This window comes from Homo sapiens, chromosome 7 (genome assembly GCF_000001405.40).
Source record: "Homo sapiens chromosome 7, GRCh38.p14 Primary Assembly".
NCBI classification, from domain to species: Eukaryota; Metazoa; Chordata; class Mammalia; order Primates; family Hominidae; genus Homo; species Homo sapiens.
In genome coordinates this window covers 62,562,607-62,581,616 of record NC_000007.14, presented here as the reverse complement: position 1 = coordinate 62,581,616, position 19,010 = coordinate 62,562,607, and the positions used below count along the sequence as shown (strand labels likewise).

Genomic DNA, 19,010 nt, shown 5'->3' with positions numbered 1-19,010 from the left:
GATGAAACTTTCTTTTGATTGAGCAGTTTGGAAACAGTCTTTTTGTACAATCTGCAAAGGGAGATTTCCGAGCCATTAGAGGCCTATGGTGAAAAAGAAGTATCTTCACATGAAAACTAGACAGAAGCATTCTGAGAAACTTCTTTGTGATGTGTCCATTCATCTCATAGAGGTGAACCTTTCTTTTGATTGAGCAGTTTGGAAACAGTCTTTTTGTACGATCTGCAGAAGGATATTTGTGAGGGGTTTAAGGCTTATGGTGAAAAAGGAAATATCTTCACATAAAAACAAGACAGAAGATTTCTGAGAAACTTTTTGTGATGTGTGCATTCAAATCACAGAGTTGAACTTTTCTTTTGAGTGAGCAGTTTGGAAACAGTATTTTTGTAGAATCTGCAAAAGGATATTTTGGAACCCTTTGAGGCCTATGGTGAAACAGGAAACATCTTCATATAGAAACTAGATAGAAGCTTTTTGAGAAACCTCTTTGTGATATGTGCATTCATCTCACAGAGTTGAACCTTTCTTTTGATAGAGCAGTTTGGAAACTGTCTTTTTGCAGAATCTGCAAAGGGATATTCCTGAGTGGTTTCAGGCCTTTGGTGAAACAGGAAATATCTTCACAAAAAGACTACACAGAATATTTCTGAGAAACTACTTTGTAATGAGTGCATTCATCTCACAGAATTGAAATTTTCTTTTCATTGAGGTGCTTGGAAACGTTCATTTTTTAGAATCTGCAAATGTATATTTGAGGGTACTTTGAGGCCTATGATGAAAAAGGAAATATCTTCACATAAACACTAGATAGAAGCTTTCTGAGAAAATTTTTGTGATGCCTGCATTCATCTCAAAGAGTTGAACTTTCTTTTGATTGAGCAGTTTGGAAACACTCTTTATGTAGAATCTGCAAAGGGATATTTCTGAGCGGTTTGAGACCTATGGTGAAAAAGGAAATATCTTCACATAAAAACTAGACAGAAGATTTCTGAAAAACTTCTTTGTAGTGGGTGCATTCATCTCACAGAGTTGAACGTTTCTTTTGATTGAGCAGTTTGGAAACAGTCTTTCTATAGAATCTGCACAGGGACATTTATAAACCCATTGAGGCCTATGGTGAAAAGGAAATATCTTCACATAAAAACTGGACAGAAGCATTCGGAGAAACTTCTTTATGATGTGTCTATTCATCGCACAGAGTTGAACATTCTTTTGATTGAGCATTTTAGAAACAGTCTTTTTGTAGAATCTGCAAAGGGATATTTGTGAGCCCTTTTTGTGCTATTCTGAAATAGGAAATATATTCACATAAAAACTAGACGGAAGCTTTCTGAGAAACTATTTAGTGATTTGTGATTTAATGTCACAGAGTTGAAAGTTTCTTTTGATTGAGCAGTTTGGAAACAGACTTTTTGTAGAATCTGCAAATGGACATTTGGAGCACTGTGAGGCCTATGGTGAAAAAGGAAATGTCTTCACATAAAAACTAGACAGACGCATACTGAGAAACTCTCTTGTGAAGTGTGCATTCATCTGACAGAGTTGAACTTTTCTTTTGATAGAGCAGTTTGGAAAGCGACCTTTTGTAGAATCTCCAAAGGGATATTTTTGAGCCCCTTATGGCCTATGGTGAAATAGGAAATATCTTCACATAAAAACTAGACAGAAGCTTTCTGAGAAACTTCTTTGTGATGTGTGCTTTCATGTCACAGAGAGGAACCTTTCTTTTGATTGAGCAGTTGGGAAACAGTCTTTTGGTGTAATCTGCAAATGGATATTTGGAGCGTTTTTGTGCCAATGGTGAAAAAGGAAATATCCTCATCTAATAACTAGACAGAAGCTTTCTGAGAAACTTCTTTGTGATGTTTGCATTCATCTCATAGAGTTGAACACTTCTTTTAATGGAGCAGTTTAGAAACAGTATTTTTGTAGTATCTACAGAGGGATATTTGTGAGCAGTTTAAGTCCTATGGTGAAAAAGGAAATATCTTCACATAAAAACAAGACAGAAGATTTCTGAGAAACTTTTTGTGATGTGTGCATTCAAATAAAAGAGTTGAACTTTTTTTTTGAATGAGCAGTTTGGAAACAGTCTTTTTGTAGAATATGCAAAGGGATAATTCTGAGCGGTTTGAGGCCTAGCATGAAAAAGGAAATATATTCACATAAAAACTAGACAGAAGATTTCTGAGGAACTACTTTGTGATGTGTGCATTCATCTCACAGAGTTGAAACTTTCTTTTGATTGAACAGTTTGGAAACTGTCCTTTTGTAGTATCTGCAAAGGGATATTTGTGAGCATTTTGTGTCCTACGGTGAATAAGGAAATATCTTCACATATAAACTAGACAGAAACATTCTGAGAAGCTTCCTTGTGATGTGTGCATTCAACTCATGGAGTTGAAGTTTTCTTTTGAATGAGCAGTTTGGAAACAGTATTTTTGTAGGATCTGCATAGGGATATTTGGGATCCCTTTGAAGCCTAAGGTGAAAAATGAAATATCATCACATAAAAAGTAGACATAAGCTTTCTGAGATACTTCTTTGGAATGTGTGTATTCATCTAACAGAGCTGAACATTTATTTTGATTGAACAATTACTAAACAGTCTTTTTATAGAATCTTCAAAGGGATATTTGGGAGCCCATTGAGGCCTATGGTGAAAAAGGAAATATCTTCACCTAAAAATTAGACAGAATATTTCTGAGACACTTCTTTGTGATGCGTGCATTTATCTCACAGAGGTGAATCTTTGTTTTGATTGAGCAGTTAGGAAACAGTCTTTTTGTAGAATCTGCAAAGGGATGTTTGGGAGCCCTTTGAAGACTGTGGAGAAAAAGGAAATATCGTCACATAAACAGTAGCCAGAAGCCTCCTGAGAAACTTATTTGTGATGAGTGCATTCATCTCACAGAGTTGAATCTTTCTTTTGATTGAGCAGTTTGGAAACAGTCTTTTTGTAGAAATTTCCAATGGATATTTCTAAGCAGTTTGAGGCCTATGTTGAAAAAGGAAATATTTTGATGTAAAAACTAGACAGAAACTTTCAGAGAAACCTCTTTGTGATGCGTGCATTCATCTCAGAGAGTTGAAACATTCTTTTGAGTGAGCAGTTTGGAAACAGTTTTTTATAGAATCTGCAAGAGGATATTTCTGGGCATTTTGAGGCCTACGGTGAATAAGGAAATATAGTCACATAAAAACTAGACAGAAGCTTTCTGAGAAACTTCCTTCTAATATGTGCATTCAACTCACAGAGTTGAACGGTTCTTTTGAATGAGCAGTTTGGGAACAGTATTTTTGTAGTATCTGCCAAGTGGTATTTGGGATCCCTTTGAGTTCTATGGTGGAAAAAGAAATATCTTCACATAAAAACTAGACAGAAGCTTTCTGAGAAACCTCTTTGTTATGTGTGCATTCATCTCACAGTGTTGAACCATTCTTTTGATAGAACAGTTTGGAAAGAGTTTTTTTGTAGTATCTGCAAAGGGATATTTGAGTGCGCTTTGAGGTCTATGGTGAAAAAGGAAATGTCTTCACATAAAAACTAGATGGAAGCTTTCTGAGAAACTGCTTTGTGATGCCTGCATTCATCTCAAAGAGTTGCACATTTCTTTAGATTGAGCAGTTTGGAAGCAGTCTTTTTGTAAAAACTGCAAAGGGATGTGTGGGAGCCCCTTTAGGCATATGGTGAAAAAGGAAATATCTTCACCTAAAAAGTAGACAGGATATTTCTGAGAAACTCCTTTGTGATGTGTGCATTCATCTCACAGATTTGAATCTTTCTTTTGATTGAGCAGTTTGGAAACCATCTTTTTCTAGAATCTGCAAAGGGATATTTCTGAGTGGTTTGAGGCCTATGGTGAAAGAGGAAATGTCCTTACATAAAAACTAGACAGAAGATTTCTGAGAAACTTCTTTGTGATGTGTGCATTAATCTCACAGATTTGAATCTTTCATTTGATTTAGCAGTTTGGAAACACTCTTTTTCTAGAATCTGCACGGGGATAGTTCTGAGCATTTTGAGGACTATGGTGAAAAAGGAAATACCTTCACATGAAAACTAGACAGAAGCATTCTGAGAAACTTCCTTGTGATGTTTGTATTCAACTCAAAGAGTTGAACTTTTCTTTTCAATGAGCAGTTTGGAAAAGTTATTTTTGTAGAATCTGCCAAGGGATATTTGGGATCCCTTTGAGGCCTAGGGTGAAAAATGAAATATCTTCACATAAAAACTAGACAGAAGCTTTCTGGGAAACTTCTTTGTGATGTGTGCATTCATCTCACAGAGCTGAAAGTTTCTTTGGATTCAGCAGTTGGAAACAGTCTTTCTGTAGAATCTGCAAAGGGATATTTGGGAGCCCCTTGTGGTCTATGGAAAAAGGAAATATCTTCACCTAAAATGTAGACAGAATATTTCTGAGAATCTACTTTGTGATGTGTGCATTCATCTCACAGAGTTGAACCTTTCTTTTGATTGAGAAGTTTGGAAAAAGTCTTTTTCTAGAATCTGCAAGGGGATATTTCTGAGCATTTTGAGGCCTATGGTGAATAAGGAAATATCTTCACATAAAAACTAGAGAGAAGATTTCTGAGAAACTTGTTTGTGTTGTGTGCATTCATCTCACAGGGTGAAACTTTCTTTTGATTGAGCAGTTTGGAAACAGTCTTTTTGTAGAATTTGCAAGGGGATATTTCTGAGCAGTTTGAGGAATGTGGTGAAAAAGTAAACATCTTCACATAAAAATTAGACAAAATATTTCTGAGAAACTTCTTTGTGATGTGTCCATTCATCTCACAGAGTTCATACTTTATTTTGATTGAGCATTTGGAAACAGTCTTTTCCTAGAATACGCAAGGGGATATTCCTGAGCATTTTGAGTCCTACGGTGAATAACGAAATATCTTCACATAAAAACTAGGCAGAAGCATTCTGAGAAACTTCCTTGTGATGTGTGCATTCCACTCACAGAGTTGAACTCTTCTTTTGAATGAGCAGTTTGGAAACAGTATTTTTGTGGGATCTGCAAAGGGATATTTGGGATCCCTTTGAGCATATGGTGAAAAAGGAAATAACTTCACAGAAAAACTAGACAGAAGCTTTCTGAGAAACTTTTTGTGATGTGTGCATTCATCTCACAGAGTTGAATGTTTCCTTTGATTGAGCAGTTTGAAAACAGTCTTTTTGTAGAATCTGCAAAGGGATATTTGGGAGCCCGTTGAGTCCTATGTTGAAAAAGGAAACATCTTCACCTTGAAAGTAGACAGAATCTTTCTGAGAAACTACTTTGTGATGTATGCATTCATCTCATGGAGTTGAACCTATCTTTTGATTGAGCACTTTGGAAACAGTTATTTTCTAGAATCTGGAAAGAGATATTTCTGAGGGGTTCAGGCCAATGGTGAAAAATGAAATATGTTCAACCAAAAAGAAGACAGAAGCTTTCTGAGAAACTTCTTTCTGATGCCTTCATCTCACAGAGTTGAACCTTTCTTTTGATTGAGCGGTTTGGAGACCGTCTTTTTGTAGAATCTGCAAAGGGATATTTTGGAGCCCTTTGAGGCCTATGGTGAAAAAGAAAATATCTTCTCATAAAAACTAGGCAGAAGCTTTCTGGGAAACTTCTTTGTGATGCGTGCATTCATTTCACAGAGTTCAAACTTTCTGTTGATTGAGCAGTTTGGAAACTGTCTTTTTATAGAATCTGCAAAGGGATGTTTGGGAGCCCTTTGGGGCCTACGGTGAAAAAGGAAATATCTTCACATAAAAACTAGCCAGAAGCTTTCTGAGAAAATTTGTGATGCCTGAATTTATCTCACAGAGATGAATCTTTCTTTTGATTGAGAAGTTTGGAAACAGTCTTTTCGTAGAATCTGCAAACAGATATTTCTGAGCTGTTTGAGGCCTATGGTAAAAAAGGAAATATTCCCATATAAAAACTAGACAGAAGCTTTCTGAGAAACTTCTTTCTGATGTGTGCCTTCATCTCACAGAGTTGAAACTTTCTTTTGCTTGAGCAGTTTGGAAACAGTCTTTTTGAAGAAACTTTAAAGGGATATTTGGGGGCCCCTTGAGGCCTATGCTGAAAAAGGAAATATCTTCACCTAAAAAGCAGACAGAATATTTCTGAGAAACTTCTTTTTGACGTGTGCATTCATCTCACAGAGTTGAAACTTACTTTTGGTTGAGCATTTTTTAAACAGTATTTTTGTAGTATCTGCACAGGGTTATTTCTGAGCGGTTTGAGGTCTATGGTGAAAAAGGAAATAATACCTTCATATGAAAACTAGACAGAAGCTTTTGTAGAAACTTCCTTGTGATGTGGGAATTCATCTCAGAGCGTTGAAACTTTCTATTCATTGAGCAGTTTGGAAAGAGTCTTTTTGTAGAATCAGCAAAGGGATATTTGAGGGAGCTTTCAAGCGTATGCTGAAAAAGGAGATATCTTAACATAAAAACTAGACAGGCGCTTTCTGAGAAAGTTCTTTGTGATGCATGCATTCATCTCACACAGTTGAACCTTTCTTTTGATTGAGCAGTTTGCAAACACTCTTTTGGTAGAATCTGCAAGTAGATATTTAGAGTGCTTAGCTGCCTAGCATGGAAAAGGAAATATCTTCACATAAAAACTAGACAGAAGCATTCTGAGAAACATCTTTGTGATGTGTGCATTTAACTCACAGAGTTGAAACTTTCTGGTGATGGAGCAGTTTCAAATTAGTCTTTTTGTATTGTCTTCTAATGGATATTTGGAGCGCTTTGAGGCCTATAGTGGAAAAGCAAATATCTTCATATAAGAACTAGACAGAACCATTATGAGAAACTTCTTTGTGATGTGTGCATTCATCTCACAGAGTTGAACCTTTCTTTTAATTGAGGAGTTTTGAAATACTCTGTTTGTAGAATCTACAAGTGGATATTCAGAGAGCTCTGAGGCCTATGGTGGAAAAGGAAATATCTTCACATAAAAACTAGACAGAAGCATTCTGAGAAACTTCTTTGTGATGTGTGCATTCATCTCACAGAGTTGAAACTTTCTATTGATTGAGCAGTTTGGAAGTGGTCTTTTTGTGTTATATGCTAATGGATATTGGAGTGTTTTGAGGCCTACAGTGGAAAAGGAAATATCTTCACATAAAAACTAGAGAGAACCAACTGAGAAACTTCTTTGTGATGTGTGCATTCATCTCACAGTGTTGAACCTTTCTTTTGATTGAGCAGTTTTGAAACAATCTTTTTGTGGAATCTGCAAATGGATATTTGGAGCACTCTGAGGCCTAAGGTGGGAAAGGAATTATCTTCACATAAAAACTAGACAGAAGCATTCTGAAAAACTTCCTTATGATGTGTGCATTCAACTCACAGAGTTGAAACTTTCTATTGACTGAGCTGTTTGGAAGCAGTCTTTTTGTGTTACTGCTAATGGATATTTGGAGTGCTTTGAGGCCTATAGTGGAGAAGGAAATATTTTCACACAAAACCTAGACATAAGCTTTCTGAGAAACACGTTTGGGATGTGTGCATTCATCTCTCAGGGTTGAAACTTTCTTTTCATTGAGCACTTCTGAAATACTCTTTTTGTAAAATCTGCAAGTGGATATTTGTAGCACTTTGCAGCCTATACTGGAAAGGGAGATATCTTCTCATAAAAACTAGACTGAAGCAGTCTGAGAAACTTTTTTGTGATGTGTGCATTGAACTCATGGAGTTGAACATTTCTTTTGATATAGCAGTTTTGAAACATTCTTTTTGTAGAAACTTCAATTGGATAGTTGGAGCGCTTTGAGGCCTATGGTGGAAAAGGAAATATCTTCACATAAAAACTAAACAGAAGCATTCTCCAAAACTTCTTTGTGATATGTGCATTCAACTCACAGAGTTGAACTTCCTTTTGATAGAACAGTTTTGAAACACTCTTTTTGTAGAATCTGCAAATGGGTATTTGGCTCCCTTTGAGGCCTATGGTGAAAAAGGAAATATCTTCACATAAAAACTAGACACAAGTATTCTGAGAAACTTCTTTGTGATGTGTGCATTCAACCTACAGAGTGGAACCTTTCTTTTGATAGAGCAGTTTTGAAACACTCTTTTTGTAAAATCTGCAAGTGGATATTTGGTTTCTTTGAGGCCTATGTTGGAAAACGAAATTGAACCTTTCTTTTGATAGAGCAGTTTTGAAACCCTCTTTTTGTAGAATCTGCAAGTGGATATTTAGAGTGCATTGTGGGCAATAGTAGAAAAGGAAATATCTTCACATAAAAATTAGACAGAAGCATTCTGAGAGAATTCTTTCTGATGTGTTTATTTATCTCACCGAGTTCAATTATTCCTTTTATTGAGCAGTTTTGAAACACTCTTTTTGTTGAATCTGCAAGTGGATATTTGGAGCACTCTGAGGCCTATGGTGAAAAAAGAAATATCTTCACTTAAAAACTAGGAAGAAGCATTCTGAGAAACTTCCTTATAATGTGTGCATTCAACTCACAGAGTTGAAACTTTCTATTGATTGAGCTGTTTGGAAGCAGTCTTTTTGTGTTACTGCTAATGGATATTTGGAGCGCTTTGAGAACTATAGTGGAAAAGGAAATATTCTTCACATAAAAACTAGACAGAAGCATTCACCGAAACTTCTTTGTGATGTGTGCATTCAACTCACAGAGTTGAACTTTTCTTTTGATAGAGCAGTTTTGAAACACTCTTTTTGTGGAATCTGCAAGTGCATATTTGGAGCGCTTTGAGGTCTATGGTGGAAAAGGAAATATGTTCACATAAAAACTAGACAGAAGAATCCTTAGAAACTTCTTTGGGTTGTGTGCATTCAACTCACAGCATTGAACCTTTCTTTTGATAGAGCAGTTTTGAAACACTCTATTTGTAGAATCTGCAAGTGGATATTTGGAGTGCTTGGAGGCCTATGGTGGAAAAGGAAATTTCTTCACGTAAAAACTAGACAGAAGCATTCTCCGAAACTTCTTTGTGATGTGTGCATTCAACTCACAGAGTTGAACCTTTCTTTTGAGAGAGCAGTTTTGAAATACTCTTTTTGTAGAATCTGCAAGAGGGTATTTGGAGCACTTTGTGGCTTATTCTGGAGAAGGAAATATCCTTACATAAAAACCAGAGAGAAGCATTCTGAGGAACTTCTTTGTGATATGTGCATTGATCTCACAGAGATGAACCTTTCTTTTGATTGAGCAGTTTTGAAACACTCTTTTTGAAGAATCTGCTAGTGTATATTTGGAGTGCTTTGAGGCTTATGGTGGCAAAGGAAATATCTTCACATGAAAACTAGACAGAAGCATTCTGAGAAACTTCTTGCTGGTGTGTGCATTCAACTCACAGAGTTGAACATTTCTATTCATTGAGCAGTTTGTAAACCATCTTTTTGTATTATGTGCTAAAGGATATTTGAGTGCTTTGAGGCCAATAATATAAAGTGAAATATCTTCACATAAAAATTAGACAGAAGCATTCTTAGAAAATTATTTGTGATGTCTGCATTCATCTCACAGATTTGAACGTTCTTTTGATTGAGCAGTTTTGAAACACTCTTTTTGCAGTATCTGCAAGTGGATATTTCAAGCGCTTTGTGTCCCATAGTCAAAAAGGAAATATCTTCACATAAAAACTAGAAAGAAGCATTTTGAGAAACTTCTTTGTGATAAGTGCATTCATCTCACAGTGTTGAACCTTTCTTTTGATTGAACAGCTTTTAAACAATGTTTTTGTGGAATCTTCAAGTGGATATTTGGAGCGCTCTGAGGCCTATGTTGGAAAAGGAAATATCTTCACATAAAAACTAGACAGAAGCATTCTGAGAAAATTCTTTGTGATGTGTGCATTCAACTCACAGATTTGAACTTTTCTTTTTATTTGGCATTTGGAAACTCTCTTTTTGTATTATATGCTAATGGATATTTGGAGCGTTTTGAGGCCCATAATAGAAAAGGAAATATCTTCACTTAAAACTAGACAGAAGCATTGTAAGGCAGTTCTTTGCAATGTGTGCATTCATCTCTCAGAGTTGAAGCTTTCTTTTGATTGAGCAATTTTAAAACACTCTTTTTGTGGAATCTGCAATTGGATACCTGTAGTGCTTTGCAGAATATAGTGAAAAGGGAAATATCATCTTCACATAAAAACAGAAATATTCAGAGAAACTTCTTTGCGATGTGGACATTCAACTCACCAAGCTGAACATTTCTATTGGTTGAGCAGTGTTTAAACAGTCTTTTTGTATTATCTGCTAATGGATATTTGGAGCGCTTTGAGGCCTGTAGTGGAAAAGGACATATCTTCACTTAAAAACTAGACAGATGCATTCTGAGAAACTTTTTTGTGATGTGTGCATTCATATCATGGAGTTGAACCTTTCTTTTGATTGAGCAGTTTTGAAATGCTCTTTTTGTAGAATCTGCAAGTGGATATTTGGAGCGCTCTGGCCTATGGTGGAAAAGGAAATATCTTCACATAAAAACTAGACAGAAGCATTCTCCAAAACTTCTTTGTGATGTGTGCATTCAACTCACAGAGTTGAATCTTTCTATTAATTGAGCAGTTTGGAAACAGACTTTTTGTATTATCTGCTAATTGATATTTGTGGCTCTTTGCAGCCTGTTGTGGAAAAGGAAATATCTTCACATAAAAACTAGACAGAAGCATTCTGAGAAACTTCTTTGTGATGTGTGCATTCATCTCACAGAATTGAACCTTTCTTTTCATTGAGCAGTTTTGAAACACTCTTTTTGTAGAATCTGCAAGTGGATAAGTGGAGCTGTCTGAAGCATATGGTGGAAAAGGAAATATCTTCACATAAAAACTAGACAGAACTTAAAGTATAATAATAATAAAATAAAATGAAAAAAGAAAGAAAAATAATGAACAAATTCAGCATGGTTGCAGAATACAAAATCATAGAAAAATCAGTTGTATTTCAATATACAGCAACAAAATATATGAAAAAGAAATCACATTTACTATAGCTACAATAAAATAAAATACCCTGAAATAAATTTAGCCAAAGAAATGAAGTATCTCTATAATGAAAACTATGGAACATTGGTAAAGGAAATGGAAGAAAATATTAGTAAATGTAAAGATATCCTGTGCTCATGGATTAGAAGAATTAGTATTGTTAAAATGTATATACTATCTAAGCAATCTGCAGATACAATAAAATCCCTATCAAAATCCCAATGACATTCTTCACAGAAAAGCATTCCTAAACTGTGGGGGGAAAAAAGTCATTTTGAGTATTGTATTATTCAGATTATTCCGAAATGGAAATAAGGCAAATATATTTTCTCTGATGTATTGTCTAGCGTGTTCTATTTTTCTGAAATTTCATTAATGAGTGTCATCTGTGAAGTTTGACATTAACATATCATGTATGAAAATTATTTTAAAATGTATTCCTTACCTTGTGTATATGTATATATTACTTTTACATTTTTGCTTTTGATTCTAAGACAAACTTATTTTAACAGAGTCATACAAATTAGTAGATGAAAAAATAATCTCAAAAAACAAAAATGTTATTATAAATGAACCTTTCAACATTACTTAAGAATAAGTACCAATTTTTTGCTATGAAGATGACTATCCATCAGATTATTCTATGTTATCTCTGCTATGACTGAGACTTCAATAATTAGGTTTTCTGAAAAATAGATTTGCAGGGGAATGTAACAGGTTTCAGAATTTTTCACTTAAAATTTAATCTTAAACTGAACATTTAACCTTAAGAAAAATTAGATCTCAGAACTTTATCTCACTTGAAATCATCTCAAATAAAAAAAGAATAAAGGAAAAAAGCAAAAATGAGCTGCTGATACAGGGAAAATTTTGCTGCCAGGAAATCAGTTCCATGGGATCAGTCTGCCTGAGTCTCATCTTGACTTCACTCATAATAAAGGTGTGTAAATCAATGCTTAAAAAATAAATAAAATAAAACTAGACAGAAGTATTCTGAGAAACTACTTCGTGAAGTGTGCATTCAACTCACAGAGCTGAAATTTTCTATTGATTGAGCAGTTTGGAAACAGTCTTTTTAATTATCTGCTAATAGATATTTGGAGTGCTTTGAGGCCTGTAGTGGAAAACGAAATACCTTCCCATAAAAACTAGACAGAAGACATCTGAGAAACTTCTTTGTGATGTGTGCATTCATCTCACAGAGTTGAACCTTTCTTTTGATTGAGCAGTTTTGAAACACTCTTTTTGTAGAATCTGCAAGTGGATATTTGGAGTGCTTTGTGGCCTACATTGGAAAAGGAAATATCTTCACATAAAAAGTAGAAAGAAGCATTCTCAGAAACTTCTTTGTGATATGTGCATTCGTCTCACAGAGTTGAACCTTTCTTTTGATTGAGCAGTTTTGAAACACTCTTTTTGTAGAATCTGCAAGTGGATATTTGGAGCACTTTGTGGCCTATAGTAGCAACTGAAATATCTTCACAAAAAAACTAGAGAGAAGCATTCTGAGAAACTACCTTGTGATGTGTGCAATCAGATCACAGAGTTGAACTTTTCCATTAAATGAGCAGTTTGGAAACAGTCTTTTTGTATTATCTGCTAATGGATATTTGGAGCGCTTTGAGGCCTATAGTGGAAAAGGAAATATCTCCACATAAAAACTAGACAGAAGCATTATGAGAAACTTATTTCTGGTGTGTGCATTCATCTCACAGAGTTGAAACTTTCTTTTGATTGAGCAGTTTTGAAACATTCTTTTTGTAAAATCTGCAAGTGGATATTTTGAGTGCTCTGACGCCTATGGTGGAAAGCGAAATATCTTCACATAAAAACTAGACAGAAGCATTCTGAGAAACTTCTTTGTGATGTGTGTCTTCATCTGACAGAGTTTAACCTTTCTTTTGATTGAGCTGTGTTGAAACACTCTTTTTGTAGAATCTGGAAGTGGATATTTGGAGCGCTTTATGGCCTTTAGTGGCAACCAAAATATCTTCACATAAAACTAGACAGAAGCATTCTGAGAAACTTCTTTGTGATGTGTGCATTCATCTCACGGAGTTGAAACTTTCTTTTGTTTGAGCAGTTTTGAAACACTCTTTTTGTGGAATCTGCAAGTGGATAATTTGAGTGCTCTGAGGAGTATGGTGGAAAAGAAAAATGTCTTTACATAAAAACCAGACAGAAGCATTATCAGAAACCTCTTTGTGATGTGTGCATTCAACTCACAGAGTTGAAACTTTCTAATTATTGAGTAGTTGGGAAACAGTCTTTTGTAATATTTGCTGATGGATATTCGGAGTAGTTTGATGCCTATAGCAGAAAAGGAAATATCTTCACTTGAAAACTAGACAGAAGCATGCTGAGAAACTTCTTTTTGATGTGTGCATTCATCTCACAGAGTTGAACCTTTCTTTTGATTCAGCAGTTTGAAACACTCTTTTTGTAGAATCTGCAAGTGGATAATTGGAGCACATGGCCGCCTATAGTGGAAAAGGAAATATCTTCACATAAAAACTAGACAGAAGCATTCTGAGAAACTTCTTTCTGATGTGTGCATTCATCTCACAGAGTTGGACGTAACTTTTGATTGAGCAGCTTTGAAACACTCTTTTTGTAGGATCTGCAGTTGGATATTTGGAACTCTCTGAGGCCTATGGTGGAAAAGGAAATATCTTCACATAAAAACTAGACAGAAGCATTCTGAGAAACTACTTTGTGATGGGTGCATTCATCTCACAGAGTTGAAACTGTCTATTGATTGAGCAGTTTGGAAACAGTCTTTTTGTACTATCTGTTAATGCATATGTGGAGCACAGTGAGGCCTATAGTGGAAAAGGAAATATCATGATATAAAAACTAGACAGAAGCATTCTGAGAAACTTTCTAGTGATGTGTGCATTCATCTCAGAGTGTTGAACCTTTCTTTTGATTGAGCAGTTTTGAAACACTCTTTTTGTAGCATCTGCAAGTGGATATTTGGAGTGGTTTGCAGCCTAGAGTGGAAAAGGAAATATCTTCCCATAAAAACTAGACATAAACATTCTGAGAAATTTCTTTATGATGTGTGCATTCATCTCACAGAGTTGAAACTTTCTTTTTATTGAGCAGTTTTGAAACACTCTTTTTGTAGAATCTGCAAGTGGATATTTGGAGCACTTAGCGCCCTTTCATGGAAAAGGAAATATCTTCACATAAAAACTAGACAGAAGCATTCTGAGAAACTTCTTTGTGATTTGTGCATTCATCTCACAGAGTTGAACCATTCTTTTGATTGAGCAGTTTTGAAACACTCTTTTTGTCAAATCTGCAAGTGGATATTTGGAACGCTTTGTGGCCTATGGTGCCAAAGGTCATATCTACACAAAAAACTAGACAGAAGCATTCCGAGAAACGTCTTTATGATGTGTGCTTTCAACTCAGAGAGTTGAACCTTTCTATTGATTGAGCAGTTCAGAAACAGTCCTTTTGTACTATCTGCTAGTGGATATTTGAAGCGCTTTGAGGCCAATAGTGGAAAAGGAAATATCTTCACATAAAAACTAGACAGAAGCATTCTCAGAAACTTCTCTGTGATGTGTGCATTCATCTCACAGAGTTGAACCATTCTTTTCATTGAGAAGTTTTGAAACACTCCTTTTGTAGAATCTGCAAGTGGATATATGAAGCACTCTGAGGCTTATGGTGGAAAAGACAATATCTTCAGAAAAAAAAGAGATGGAAGCATTCTGAGAAACTTCTTTGTGATGTGTGCCTTCAACTCATGGAGTTTAACGTTTCTATTGATTTAGCAGTTTGGAAACAGTCGATTTGTATTCTCTGCTAATGGATATTTGGAGTGCTCTGAGGACTGTGGTGGAAAAGGAAATATCTTCACATCAAAATTTACACAGAAGCATTTTGAGAAACTTCTTTCTAATTTGTGCATTCAACTCACAGCGTTGAATCTATCTTTTGATAGAGCAGTTTTGAAACTTTCTTTTCGTAGAATCTGCCATGGATATTTGGAGCCCTTTGCAGCCTATGGTGGAAAAGGAAATATCTTCATATAAAAACTTCACAGAAGCATTCTGAGAAAATTCTTTGTGATGTGTGCATTGATCTCACAGCGTTGAACCTCTTTTTTGATTGAGCAGTTTGGAAACACTCTTTTTGAAGAATCTGCAAGTGGATATATGGAGCGCTTTGAGGCCTATGGTGGAAAAAAAATATCTTCACATAAAAACTACACTGAAGCATTCTGAGAAACTTCCTTGTGTTGTGTGCATTCAATTCACATAGGTGAACCTATCTTTTGATAGAGCAGATTTCAAAATCCCTTTTGTAGAATCTGCAAGTGGACATTTGGAGCCTTTTGTGGCCAATGGAGGAAAAGTGAATATCCTCTCATAAAAACTACACAGAAGGATTCTGAGAAACTTTTTGTGATGTGTGAATTCATGTCAAAGAAGAGTTGAACCTGTCATTTGAGGGAGCAGTTTTGAAGCACTCTTTTTGTGGAATCTTCAAGCAGATATTTGGAGCACTTGGAGGCCTACTGTGGAAAAGGAAATACTTTCACTTAAAAACTACACAGAAGCACTCTGAGAAACTTCTTTGTGATGTGCCCATTCATCTCACAGAGTTGAACTTTTCTTTTGATTGAGCTTTTTGGAAACACTCTTTTTGTAGAATTTGTAATTGGATATTTGGAAGGCTTTTTGCCCTTGGTGGAACAGGAAATATCTTCACATATAAACCACACAGAAGCATTCTCAGAAACTGCTTTGTGATGTGTGCATTCATCTCAAAGGGTTGTACGTTTCTTTTGATAGAGCAGTTTTGATAGACTCTTTTTGAAGAATCCTCAAGAGGACATTTGGAGCGCTATGAGGCCAATGGTGGAAAAGGAAATATCTTTGCATAAAAACTACACAGAAGCATTCTGAGAAACTGCTTTATGATGCTTGCATTCAACTCGCAGAGTTGAACCTGTCCTTTGATAGAGGAGTTTCCAAACTCTCTTGTGGCAGATGGTGGGAAAAAAAAATTTCTTCCCATGAAAACTACACAGAGGCATTCTGAGAAACATTTTCTGAGGTGAGCATTAAACTCGCAGTGTTGAATCTATCTTTTGATAGGGCAGTTTTCAAAATCCCTTTTCATAGAATCTGCAAGTGGATATTTAGAGCCCTTTGTGGCCAATGGTGGAAAAGGAAATATTTTTCCATAAAAACTACACAGATGCTTTCTGAGAAATTTCTTTGTGATGTGTGCATTCAATTCACAGAGTTGAACTTTTCTTTTGATTGAGCAGTTTTGAAACATTCTTTTTGTACAATCTGCAAGTGGATATTTGGAGCGCTTTGAGGCCTATTGTGGAAAAGGAAATATCATCACGTAAAAACTAGACAGAAGCATTCTGAGAAACCTCTTTGTGATGTGTGCATTCAACTCACAGAGTTGAACCTTTCCTTTCGTTGAGCAGTTTGAAACACTGTTTTTGTAGAATCTGCAAGAGGATATTTGGAGCACTTTGAGCCCTATAGTGGAAAAGGAAATATCTTCAAATAAAAACTAGACAGAAGCATTCTCAGAAGCTTCTTTGTGATGTGTGCATTCAACTCACAGAGTTGAACTTTTCTTTGGAATGACGAATTTTGAAAAACTCTTTTTGTGGAATCTGCAAGTGGATATTTGGAGTGCATTTAGGCCAATTGTGGAAAAGGAAATATCTTCACATAAAAACTAGACAGAAGCATTCTCAGAAACTTCTTTGTGATGTGTGCATTCAATTTACAGAGTTGAAGCTTTCTTTTGATAGAGCAGTTTTTAGACACTCTTTTTGTGGAATCTGCAGTGGATTTTGGAGTTCTTTGAGGCCTATGGTGGAAAAGGAAATATCTTCACATAAAAACTAGACAGAAGCATTCTCAGAAACTTCTTTGTTAGGTGTGCATTCAACTCACAGAGTTGAAGTTTTCTTTTGATTGAGTAGTTGTGAAGTACTCTTTTTGTAGAATTTGCAAGTGGATATTTGGAGCACTTTGAGGCATATGATGAAAAAGGAAATATCATCACATAAAAACAAGACAGAAGCATTCTCAGGAGCTTCTTTGTGATGTGTGCATTCAATTCGGAGAGTTGAACCTTTCATTTGATAGAGCAGTTTTGAAACACTCTTTTTGTAAAATCTGCAAGTAGATATTTGGAGCGTTTTGAAGTCTATGGTGGAAAAGGAAATATCTTCACAATAAAAACTAGACAGAAGAATTCTCAGAAACTACTTTGTGATGTGTGCATTCAGCTCACAGACTTGAACCTTTCCATTGATTGAGAACATTTCTAAAAGTCCGTTTGTAGAATCTGCCAGTGGATATTTGGAATGCTTTGTGGCCTATGGAGGAAAAGGAAATATCTTCACATAAAAACTAGACAGAAGCATTCTCAGAAGCTTCTTGCTGATGTGTGCATTCAACTCATAGAGATGAACCTTTCCTTTGATTGAGCAGTTTTGAAAGACTCCTTTTGTAGTATCTGCAAGTGGATATTTGGAGCATTTTGAAGCCATTCGTGGAAAAGGAAATATCTTCATGTAAAAACTAGTCAGAAGCATTCTCAGAAACTACTTTGTGATGTGTGCATTCAACTCACAGAGTTGAACTTTTATTTTGGTAGAGCAGCTTTTAAACACTCTTCTTGTACAATGTGCAAGTGGATATTTAGAGCGCTTTGGGGCCTATGGTGAAAAAGGAAATATCTTCACGTAAAGACTAGACAGAAGCATTCTCAGAAACATCTATGGGATGTGTGCTTTCAACTCACAGAGCTCAACGTTTCTTTTGATAGAGCAGTTTTAAAACACTCTTTTTGTAGAAACTGCAAGTGGATATTTGGAAGGTTTTGAGGCCTATGGTGGAAAAGGAAATATCTTGCCTTAAATACTAGAAAGAGGCATTCTCAGAAACTACTTTGTGATGTGTGCATTCAATTGACAGAGTTGAGCCTTTCTTTTGATTTAGCAGTTTTGAAAAAATCTTTTTGTGGAATCAGCAAGTGGATATTTGGAGTGCTTTGAGGCATGTGGTGGAAAGGGACATTTCTTCACATAAAAACTAGACTGAAGCATTCTCAGAAATTCCTTGGTGATGTGTGCATTCAACTCACATTGTTAAATCTTTCTTTTGATAGAGCAGTTTTGAAACACACTTTTTGTAGAATCTGTAAGTGGATATTTGGAGCACTTTGAAGCCTATGGTGGAAAAGGAAATATCTTCACATAAAAACTAGACAGAAGCATTCTCAGAAACTTCTTTGTGATGTGTGCACTCAACACACAGAGTTGAACTTTTCTTTTGATCGAGCAGTTTTGAAACACACTTTTAGTGGAATCTGCAAGTGAATATTTGAAGCGCTGTGAGGCCTATGGTGGAAAAGGAAATATCTTCACATAAAAACTAGACAGAAGCATTCTCACAAACTTCTTTGTGAGGTGTGCATTCAACTCACATTGTTGAACATTTCTTTTCATAGAGCAGTTTTGAAACAGTTTTTTTTATAGAACTTGCAAGTTGATATTTTCAGCCCTTTGAGGCCTATGTTGGAAAACGAAATATGTGTACAAAAAAGTAGACAGAAGCATTCTCAGAAAGTTCTCTCTGATGTGTGCATTCAACTCACAGAGTTGAACCTTTCTTTTCATAGATAAGTTTTGAAACATTCTTTTTGTAAGATCTCGAAGTGGATATTTGGAGCGCTTGGAGGCCTATGGTGAAAAGATAATATCTTCACATAAAAATTAGACAGAAGCATTCTCAGAAACTTCTTTGTGATGTGTGCATTCAGCTCACTGAGTTGAACCTTTGTTTTGATGAAGCAGTTTTGAAACTCTCTCGTGGCAGAGTCTGCAAGTGGATATTTGGGGCGCTTTGAGGCCTATGTTGGAAAAGGAAATATCTTCACAGAAAAACTAGACAGAAGCATTCTCAGATACTTCTTTGAGACGTGTGCATTCAACACACAGATTTGAAGCAGTCTCAGAAACTTCTTTCTGATGTGT

The 19,010-nt window shown here is 35.7% G+C and overlaps 1 annotated feature.

Moving 5' to 3' along the window:
• Positions 15,996 to 16,497: an enhancer, noted in NCBI's record as "NANOG hESC enhancer chr7:62025498-62025999 (GRCh37/hg19 assembly coordinates)". NCBI's record gives its function as "activates a minimal SCP1, AML or CMV promoter by ChIP-STARR-seq in primed H9 embryonic stem cells {active_cell/tissue: H9 hESC(primed)}" and the evidence as "EXISTENCE:reporter gene assay evidence [ECO:0000049][PMID:30033119]".